Genomic DNA, 11,922 nt, shown 5'->3' with positions numbered 1-11,922 from the left:
TAATAATTATGCTGAATGTACTCTGCCTATGCTCTGTAAGTCAAATAACAAAGCCTGGATGACCACACATCTATTTATAGAATTTATGAAAAAATTTTTTGAAACTTTTATTTTAGATTCAAGGGTACATGTGAAGCCTTCTTACATAGGTGAATTCATGTCACAGGGGTTTGCTGTAAGGATTATTTCTTCACCCAGGTATTAAGCCCACTACCCAATAGTCATCTTTTCTGCTCCTCTCCCTCCTCCCACCCTCTACCCTCAGGTAGACCCCAGTGTCTGCTGTTTCCTTCTTTGTATTCATGGGTGTAATTTTTAGCTCCCACTTATAAGAGAGAATATGTGGTGTTTGGTTTTCTGTTCCTGCATTAGTTTGCTAAGGATAATAGTCTCCAGCTTCATCCATGTTTCCACAAAAATACTATGGCTGCATAGTATTCCATGGTGTAAATATACCACATTTTATTTATCCAATCTGTCACTGATGGATGTTTATGTTAATTCCATGTCTTTGCTATTGTGAATTGTGCTGCAATGAACATTTGCATGCATGTGTCTTTATCATAGAATGATTTTTATTCCTCTGGGTACACACCCGGTAACGGGATTGCTGAGTCAAATGGTAGTTCTGTTTTTAGCCCTTTGGGGAATTGCCATACTGCTTTCCACACTGGTTGAACTAATTTACAGTAGTTGAATAATACCACAGTGTGTAAGTGTTCCCTTTTCTCCACAATCTCGCCAGCATCTGTTATTTTTTGACTTTCTAATGATAGCCATTCTGGGTGGTTTGAGATGGTATCTCATCGTGGTTTTCATCTGCATTCCTCTAATGGTCAGTGATGCTTAGCTTTTTTTCATATGCTTCTCATAAGCATGTATGTCTTCTTTTGAAAAGTGTTTGTTCAGCTCCTTATTAATGAGGTTGTTAGTTTTTTTCTCCTACATTTGTCTAAATTCCTTATAGATGCTGGATATTAGTCCTTCGTCAGATGAATAGTTTGCAAATATTTTCTCCCATTCTGTAGATTGTTTGTTTACTCTGTCGATAGTTTGTCTTGCGGATTCATAGAAGGAGGTAAAAATATCAACATTAACAGTAGTTTGGAAGAAAGTAGATTCAACTGTCATGGATGAATTTCAGGAGTTCATGATTCCAGCAGAGAAAGTAACTGCAGATGTTGCAGAAATAGCAAAAGAAATATAATTAAAAGTGGAGACTGAAGATGTGACTGAATTGCTGCAATCTCATAATAAAACTTTAACTAATAAAGACTTTCTTCTTATGGGTGGGCAAATAATGTAGTTTTTGAGATGGAAACTACTCCTGGTAAAGATGTGAACGTTGTTTAAATAGTAACAAAAGACTTAAATATTACACAAATTATTTGATAAAGCAGCAGCAGAGTTTGCAAGTGTTGACTCCAATTTTAAATGTTCCATTTGGGGTAAAATACTATCAAATGGCATTGCACGTTACAGAGAAATGTTTTGTAAAAATAAAAGTCAATCAATGCATTAAGTTCTGTTGTCTTATTTTAAGAAACAAGCAGAACCACCTCAAACTTGAACAACTAATCTGTCAACAGCCATCAGCTGTTATATATATTATATATAATATATATAATTATATATATAATATATAATATATATAATTATATAATTATATATATTATATATTTATTTATAATCTATATATTATATATATTATTATATATTATATTATATATTATAATGTATATTATATATATAATATATATTATTATATATATAATATATATTATTGTATATTATATTATATATTATAATATATGTTATTGTATATTATATTATATATTATAATATATGTTATTATATATTATAATATATATTATTATATATTATATGTTATTATATATTATAATATATATTATTATATATTATATGTTATTATATATTATAATATATATTATTATATATTATATGTTATATATTATAATATATATTATTATATGTTATTATATATTATAATATATATTATAATATATGTTATTATATATTATAATATATAATTATATGTTATTATATATTATAATATATATTATAATATATGTTATTATATATTATAATATATATTATAATATATTATAATATATATTATTATATATTATATTATATAATATTATATCATATTATATATTATAATATATTATATTATATTATATATATTATATATTATTATATATTATATTATATATATTATTATATATTATATATACTATCTCTATTGAAAGCATTTTTACTGCTTTTCTTTTTCATTATATTACAAATCATTTTAATTTTTAAAGGTACTAAAGTAATAATGAAGAATATGACTTACCTTAAATTATCTTCCATTATATAACAGGGAAATTCATAATATAAACACTTTTTTCATTGTCAATCTGCTGCTGAAGAACTGAGAAGGAAAGGTTAATGTAAGTTAATCAGTTTATCCTGTTTTGATTTTGGCTCTGTTTCTAAAGGTATGATTATAAAAAGCAAAATAATCAGAGATGTTTCTTCTGAGTTCAGAGCAACACACAATGCTAAACTGCTATAACAGAATTTGAAAAATTCCCAAGTGCCAACATCCAGACTCTTGTCCATTGCTGATGTTACGAAAGAACCATAATAATCATTCTGATTGAATCTGCATGAGTCTCCAAACACTTCTTGATGTAGGATTATAGGCAACCACTACTAATTATTTTGCATTTTCATTAAAATGAATCCTGGTGTTTCTAAACCAGTCTGAAATTAGGAGTCCTATTCTCTGATATGTCCATATAACAAACAAATGATTTCAACATCAGAACTTAAATGTGCCTTACGCTGATAAGTTGGATTAACCCCATTTTCTGTTCGGGTGCCCCACTTGTATTTTAAGAACCCTCCTGTGAATAATCATTACTAAAGTGAGCAAACCAGTATATCAAGGGAGAACTGTTTTCATCATTGGTAGAAGTAAAAATGGTATGAGTCAAACAAACACCTGAGCAACATTAATGAAAATAATAGCTAATGCTTATTTGTAATTTGCTATGTGCTATGTACTATTCTACGTGCTTTCCTTGCATTAAGTCATCTGTTTATCATGTCAATGTTATAAGGTCAGTATCCTCATCATCTTCACTTCATGAATAAATAAACAGAGGCACAGACTTGCCCAAACTTGGCACTAAGGTATTTAACCCATAGTGTGCCAAGTAGAGTGCCAGATTTTAAACCTAGGAATTATAACAGTATGGCATATCAATTATCACTTGATATATCAAGGATCATGTCTTTGAGATTACTATTAAAAATATACGGCCCAAGAAGATCAGCTAAAGGAAAGCACTAAAGAAACTGCAATCCACCATATGTGAAGGTTAAACCCACCTTGAAAACAAGTTTAAGGGACACTTAATACAGTCTCATGACAACACTTTCCAACTCTATATTACAGCATTTGTATTTTAAAAAGAAAAATGGAAAAATCAAAGGAAAATCTAAAAATTCTGAATGCCTGTAAGGCATACACATTTACTGGAATTTGAAGAGAGATATGGTCCCAAATTAATGCCCATTGATAATATTTTATATGAGAATACTATTAACATGAAGAGGGGCAAGATAGAGGGTAGTTCCTAATGGAAAAAAAGAACAACTTACTGCCTCAAGCAGGTTAAGGAGTAATACTTAAAGCAAGAAAGGCATAAAATGAAAATCTGTAGCATAGGTTTTTTGGACCTCCGTCTTTGCTTACTCCCACCAAAATACTAAATATTTCATCTAGCAAAGTAAATAGTGAGATTAAAGCATATCAAATTTCCTCTTTTTAAGCCTGATCAAGTGAAACATGAAACTACATAATTTCAAAGAGTTTCTCTCTCTTTCTCTCTCTCGATATCTAGAGATGTCTTATATGTTGTGTATTTATATTTTATATATATAGATAAACATTGTATGTTTGTAAAAATGTAAAACAATACCAGTATTCCCTCTAAATATTTTTGCATTGGAAGATACATTTTTCTTAGAATATTTATATTAACATATGATAGATATTTTCTTTTTTTAAACTAAACTAATGCACATTTTATTTTTCCATTTTATTTTTAACATTGTAAATATTTGTAGTTAAATCTCACATAAAATAATTTGAGATCATCAACTAAGTTTAAGATTGTAAGGAGCTCTTGGGTTTAAAAAGTTTAAGATTCACTGATTGGAGTTTGCATTGTGTATTTTCTCTCTCCATTTTACTTTCAACATTTCTTTATACTGATAGTTTATATTTCATAAGCAGCATATGGTTGTCATTTTTTGTACACCACTCTTATGTATTTTTAATGGGGACATTTAGTACATTTACATTTATCCTGCTTACTCATCTTCTTCCATTTAAATGTCTGTTATGTCATATGATTCATTTTACATCTTAAGATAACTTAATGTTTTTCTCTTTTTATTGTATAGTTTTTCCTTATGATTTCCAGTCAAAAAATTATTTCTCTTCATACTCGGTTATATTGTTAAATGTCAGATATTGTAGATTAAACTGAGTCTTTATGATAGTGTCATCCTCCAAAGAGGTTTTACTTTGATTTGGTCAGCCAGCTGGGTTAGGATAGAGGATCTTATTTTAATCAGAGATTGAACTAATATTGAACTGGGACCATGAGAGCTGGCCAATTCTGGAATTGCAATTACTTTTAAGGTGTGGACATTTGAGGTCCTGACTGAAAGTTTGTGTCATTTCCCAGTCTTTCTACATTACAGGACTCTAAAATCTAATCTATGTTTCTCTTACCCATGGGTAACTTGCTACAAGATCATTTCAGCTTCTCAGCTTTCTGACTAGTACTTTCTAATCTGAAAACCCCATGAGGAGAGAAGTGGCAACAAATATACCTTTCTTTGCTTCCCTTTTTTCTGGGGTCTTGACCCTGAAAATTCTTACTGATAGCTCCCTCCTTCTTCTTCGTAATTGTCTAATCTTTTCAATTCCTCTCAATAGGAAGATTGTTAAGGATCCAGCTTATTCAACATTTCTGGAAACAGAATTTCATATGAATGTATCATAATTTCTAGTATGGAAGGTTGCAGTACCTTAAGCTAGTATTTATCTTTTTCTGCAGTTATTTGTTGATGTTTTTGTTGTTGTTTTTACTGTTGCTTACTAATACTGCCTTGGTTTCTTTATTTCATTGTGGACATTGCTTCTGAAACATGATTATTTTTTCCTTCTGATACGACTTGTATATTTTTTCTATATATCATCGTCTTAAAGTTTAAATAAATAATGTGTATATTCAATGTGATTACAATGAAATATGTTTTCCATTGTAAACATTTTAGATATTTCTGAGGGTATTATAACACTCAGACTAGTAATCATGGACCAAGTGGCAAGACTGGGAAAGTGAAAAAAAAACCTTAGGGATTTGGGCAAGTAACACACTGTTAATATAAGCCATGTTGGCCAAATGTCCAGTCTTTTCCTGGGAAATGCTGCTTACGACACAATAAATGATAATCATTTAGCCCAGGCATGAGCCACAGGCTGGTTTTTACGGTAAGAGACTTTAAATAAGATTTTAATACCTTTGTCTTATTTCTCTATCTGTCAAGTTTTTTATTGCTTTTATAACTTTTGGGGAGTTTTCAGAAATCTGATGGTCAAATAAGCAGCAGAACAAAAATAAAGTGTGTTGAGGCATGAGAGAAAAGGAAATTATATTTTGATGTTTATCTACAAAGCAATAAAAAATGAAAAAAGGGAAATAAAAAAAGCAAAAATAACATGCTAGGATTTTATCTTGTAGACTAATCAGTTTTCATTGCAGTGTAGAATTATGCACATATTTCCTATTAACAAAATATTTGTTTTGTTAGTTTTGAGAAATAGACACATCATTGTTATCAATAAAAATGAAAAAACACAGCTTTTGAGAAATCAAATATCAACTTATTAATGCAAATATCATACCAGTAGAAAACATCACAATTTATGCAAAAAATGAAATAAAATGAAACAGAAAGGGCAAATGGGAAATAACCAGGACTTCTGTTCAGGCAGCAGTCATAATTTCAATATGACAAATATTTCTAAAAAGATAAGTGCTTCTGGTATATCTTCAGATTTTACCAGAGCTCCTATGTACACAAACATATCTATTTTTTATTACAAATTTTGTGTTGTTGGCAACATAAAATAGTCTAATATAAAATATATTTTACAGATACTAAATATCTTGCATATTAAAGTCAACTTTGATAAGCTGGGTGTGGATATTAATAGATTGTTTTAAGTAATATCTAAAAACAAGATTAAAATATTTTATTTGGAATCTTTTATTAAATATTTCTGTATAGTAATTGACAACACAAAAGTTGAAGAATGAGTCCAGTAAAATGTGCTAAAATTGTAAATGAAAAAATGAAAGGACATAAAGCTTGTTAACTGTGGTAAATTAAATTATCTGGCTCAATTACATATCTATCATTTTATTCATATCATTTGTCATATGATTTTGCAATTTCTACTACCAAAATTGGATTTGGATCTAGCAATGTGACTTTCTTTGGCTAATGGCATATGGGCTAAACTAAAAGTGTGCCAGAACCATTCCCAGGTATCTAAGGGCATTGCATGTTCTTTCTTTCTTTAACCTCTGGCCTCACCATAAGGCAAGTTTTCCCCATGTAGCTGCCACTTCTTTAGCCTAGGTCCCAATTTAGTACACAGGGAGCAGACCAGAGACAAAGCTGCAACAATAAGCCTAGCCCAGCTACATCTGCTGTTTAAAGAGGAAATGCCTAGCTAAACTTAGGCTATATGAGCTGATCCCCAACTAATATGGTTGGGATTTGTGTCCCCACCCAAATCTCATGTCAAATTTTAATCCCTTGTTGGAAGAGGGGCCTAGAGGGAGGTGATTAGCTTAGAGGTGTGGATTTTCCTTTTGCTGTTCTTGTGGTAGTGAGTGAGTCATCATGAGATCTGGTTGTTTTAAAGTGTGTAGCACCTCCTCCTCCTCCTCCTTCTCTCTCTTTTTCCTGCTCCAGCCCTGTGGAAGGACATGACTCCTTTCTCTTAATCTTCCCCCATGATTGCAAGTTTCCTGATACCTCCCAGCCATACTTCCTGTACAGCCTATGGAACCATGAGCCAATTAAACCTCTTTTCTTTATAAATTACCCAATCTCAGGTAGTTCTTTATAGCAATGCAAGAATGAACATATACAGAGAATTGATACTGGGAAGTGGGGTATTGCTATAAAGGTACCTGAAAATGTGCAAACAACTTTGGAGTTGGGTAATGGTCAGAGTTTGGGACACTTTGGAGGGCTCAGAAGAAGAAAAGAAGATGAGGAAATGTTTGAAGCTTCCTAGAGATTTATTAAAGTGTTGTGACCAAAATGCTGATGGTGATATTGACAATGTAGTCCAGGCCGAGGAGGTCTCAGATGGAGATGAAGAACTGGAGAAAAGGTCATTTTTGTTATACTTTAGCAAAAAAGTTGGAGGAATTGTTCCCCTGCTCTAGAGATCTGTGGAATTTAAAATTTGAGAGTGATGATTTAGGGTATCTGGTGAAAGAAATTTCTCAGCAGCAAAGTATTCCAGATGTGGCCTGGCTGCTTCCAAGAGCATATGATCATATGTGTGATGGAAAGGATCATCTGAAACTGGAACTTATATTTAAAAGAGAAACAGAGAATAAAAGTTGAAAAAATGTGAAGCCTGATCATGTGGTAGAAAACAAAATCCAATTTTTGGGGGAGAAATTCAAGTCAGCTGCAGAAATTTGCACAAAAGGAATCAAATATTAATAGCCAAGACAATGGGAAAAATGCTTCCAAGGCATTTGAGAGACCACTGTGGCAGCCCTTCCTATCACAGGCCAAGAGGACTAGGAGGGAAGAATGGTTTTCCTGGGCCCTGCCCAGGGACCCCCTGCCCTGCATAACCACAGGATGCTGCTCCCTGCATTCCAGCTGCCCCAGCTTTGGCCTTGGTTAAGAGATACCCAGATACATCTCAAGCTTCTGCTCCAGAGAATGCAAGCCAAAGGTTTTGGCAGCTTCCACATTGTGTTAATCCTGCAGGTGCACAGACGGTAAGAGCTGAAGCTTGGGAGCCTCTGCCTAGATTTCAGAGGATGTATGGAAAGCCTGGATGTCCAGAAAACAGCTTACTGTGGGGGCATAGCCCTCATGGAGAACCTCTACTAAGGCGGTGCTGAGGGGAATATGAGGTTGGAGGCTTCATATTTGGAGTCCCCAGTGGGGACTGAGGCACTGCCCAGTGGAGCTGTGAGAAGAGGGCCACTGTCCTCCAGAACCCAGAATTGTAGATCCACCAAAAGCTTGCACTGCACACCTAGAAAAGCTGCAGGCACTCAATGCCAGCCCATGAAAGCAGCTGAGGGAGCTGCACCCTGCAGAGCCCCAAGGGCAGAGATAACCAAGGCCTTTAGAGCCCACTCCTTCCATCAGTGTGGCCTGGATGTGAGACATGGAGTCAAAGGAGATTATTTTTGAGCTTTAAAATTTAAAGACTGTCCTGCTGAGTTTGATATTTGCATGGGGCCTGTAGCCTCTTTGTTTTGACTGATTTCTTCCCCTTGGAATAGGTGTATTTACCGAATGCCTGTACTGCCATTGTATATTGGAAGTAACTAATTTGCTCTTGATTTTACAGGCTCGTAGGTGAAGAGACTTGCGTAGTCTCAGATGAGACTTTGGACTACAGACTTTTGAGCTCACGCTGAAATGAGCTAAGAATTCAGAGACTGTTGAAAAGGGAGGATTGTATTTTGCAATGTGAGAAGGACATGAGATTTGGGAGGGGTCAGGGGTGGAATGAGGTGGTTTGAATCTGTTTTCCTGCACAAATCTCACGTCAAATTGTAACCCCTAATCTTGGTGGAGGAGCCTGGTGGGAGGTGATTGGATCATGGGGGCAGATTTCCACCTTACTGTCCTTGTGATATTGAGTAAGTTCTCAAGAGATCAGGTGGTTTAAAAGTGTGTAGCACCTTTCCTTTCATTCTCTCTGCCTTCTCCTCTGGCCACATAAGACATGGTTCCTCCCTCTTTACCTTCTGCCAAGATTGTAAGTTTTCTGTGGCCTCCCCAGCCATGCTTTCTATACAGCTGGTAGAACTGTGAGCCAATTAAACATCTTTTCTTTGACTTAATCTCAGGCAATTTTTTATAGCAGAGAGAAAAGACTATTAAGCCAAGCTCAGAGCTATGAGAAAAAAGTGCTTATTGTTGAATGGCACTGAGATTTTTGTTTGTTTGCTTCACAGTAATAGCTGACCAATACAATTTTGAAATAGGTGTAAAGGGAAACATCTAGAGTGCAACAATTGCATCTGAAATCTTTACCTCAAGGATTACATTGTTTTTCTGTAGGAAATTATTTATTTACACACACCTGCAAATGTGTATAAATAAATAGAGTTTAAAGGCCTTATTATGCTTAAAAATGATAAAAAGGCTTGTTATGCCTAAGGATTATAGAAGTCATGATAATCATTTTACTGTGCTGTATACTTTAATCTTACTACTGTGATAATAATAAACCCATGTATATAATTATATAATATTGTGATTTGTCTTATTTGGTGTAGTAAGTGCAAATAGATAATTTTAAAAAATTGCCACCTTATATATGTGTGTTATTCATTGAGAGTTTTTTGATATTATTATTGAAAAAGTATGTTTTTAAGCATTTCAGAACTGACATAAATTATGAAAATACAGAAACCAAAATAAAATATCTGAATAATACTATATTCTGGTGCATAGGAAATCATGGATCATATGACATTAATTAACAAATACTCCCCACGTGTAAAAATCAATTGTTTAAATAATTTTAAATGATTTTTAAAATTCGCAACAGCTGATTCACAGAAAACGAAAAAAAAAGTCATTTCCGTTTTCTGCTCAAATTTGTTTTCTAAAACTAATGATTTTTTTTAAAAAAGTTTAGTTATTAGGAAAACTTTCTAATTTAAAAAACAAATATTTAACCTCTTTAAAAAATACATCTTGGCAGGGCGCGGTGGCTCATGCCTGTAATCCCAGCACTTTGGGAGGCTGAGGCAAGCGAATCATGAGCTCAAGAGATGGAGACCATCCTGGCCAACATGTTGAAACCCAGTCTCTACTAAAAATACAAAAATTAACTGGGCAGGAGGTGGAGGTTGCAGTGGGCCAAGATTGTGCCACTCCACTCCAGCCTGGTGACAGTGAGACTCCATCTCAAAAAAAAAAAAAATACATACTGTTAAGATATTGCACTAATTGTTTATCACAACCTCCAGAAACATTTTTAGATTTCTTTTTTATAAATTTCTGCCACATTTTAAATATCTACAGTCCTACAATGGTTAAATATTTTATATTTAACAGGGATTTCTTTAAAATAACATTTGAAGGAAGAATTAATATCTAAAGAGCATCTACGAATACACAAGAAAGTCAAAGGGTCAAAAGGACAGTGAAAAAGATGAGTAACGCAAAATCGATTGCAAGAATCTAAGCACATAATTAATTAACTATAAATTAAGAAAGGCAATTGCAACGTAACCATAACCTAACTTCAGAAAAACAAAGAAATTCATTCACTTGAAAATGGATAAAACTGGCTGGGCTCATTGGCTCATGCCTGTAATCCCAGCACTTTGGGAGTCTGAGGCGGGCAGATTACCTGAGGTCAGGAGTTCAAGACGAACCTGGCCAACATGGTGAAACCTCCTCTCTACAAAAAAAATACAAAAATTAGCCGGGTGTGGTGGTGGGTGCCTGTAATCCCATCTACTTAGGAGGCCGAGGCAGGGAGAATGGCTTGAACCCGGGAGGTTGAGGTTGCAGTGAGCCAAGATCGTGCCGTTGCAATCCAGCCTGGGTGACAGAGTGAGACTCCATCTCAGAAAAAAAAAAAAAAAAAAAAAAAAAAGCATAAAACTATGGTCTATCGTTTGAATTAAAAGTCTATGACATAATAAAACAATGCTATTTCAATTTTAGACATTTCTGAGGCGTGTACTTTCCAATTCCTTCTAATACATGGTGAATTTCTTTATCAATTTAGTTTCAGCAACAGACAGAAAAACAGCCAGATGTGATACATTAATACAAAGGATTTTCAACACAAACTAAGATGATGTAGATTTATAGAGATTAAGATAGAGACAGAGACAGAGACAGAAACAGGCAGAGAGACAGACATGTACACACACATGCACACACACACATGCACACACACACATGCACACACACACACAGAATATTGGGAGCTCCTACTTTGTTCTAGTTGGCTACAATGTTTGAAAGCCTAATTCACAAGAGGTTTTGTGATAGTAGTTACAGTATCAAGTTGAATTATTGGGTAAAAAGGTGGATTTACCTGCCTACCTACCTACTTTAATCTAACAAGAGAATAATGTACAAGTCATGAGCACAAACTGGTAAAACTTCAGTGTATTCATTTATTAGAATAAAACAAAATGGTGGAAGCAGAAGCTCCAAGCTCCTGTCCCTCCACAGAAACACCATAAAGCAAGCCAATTCTGTCAGAAGCAACTTTGTCAGAAATCTGGCAAAGAAAGGTTGATAGCAACAAAGCAAATGCTAAGTCAAGGAAAAAAATATATTAAAATAATAGAAAATCTTTGGGTTATTTTTCCTTACGCTTCTTCCACTAATTTTCCAACTTGGTGAGAGTATTGAAGACAGCAGTCCAATTTACCATTTTGCTACCTTGGTCCCTGGTCCTGGAGAGAGAAGACTAGGCCCTATTCATCTTATTTACAAAGTATTATGAATGCTTGTACTAACTGGCCTTGAAGGCCACCTGAAGGGCTAAGGCAAGGCAACTATCTCAATTGCTCCTAT

General features: G+C 33.9%; 1 long non-coding RNA gene across 1 annotated transcript in view; it reads right to left on the bottom strand.

The window, feature by feature from the left end:
* Positions 1-2,285: 2,285 nt before the first annotated feature.
* LOC105379062 (uncharacterized) overlaps positions 2,286-11,922 on the bottom strand; it is a 50,894-nt gene continuing 41,257 nt past the window's right edge. Inside the window, exon 3 of the long non-coding RNA XR_948532.2 lies at positions 2,286-2,437. This is a non-coding gene — a long non-coding RNA (uncharacterized LOC105379062). The remainder of the gene's footprint in view (positions 2,438-11,922) is intronic.

The sequence above is a fragment of the Homo sapiens genome, chromosome 5, assembly GCF_000001405.40.
Source record: "Homo sapiens chromosome 5, GRCh38.p14 Primary Assembly".
NCBI classification, from domain to species: Eukaryota; Metazoa; Chordata; class Mammalia; order Primates; family Hominidae; genus Homo; species Homo sapiens.
The sequence above is the reverse complement of the archived record's forward strand: the minus strand, read 5'-3'. Positions and strand labels throughout refer to the sequence as shown.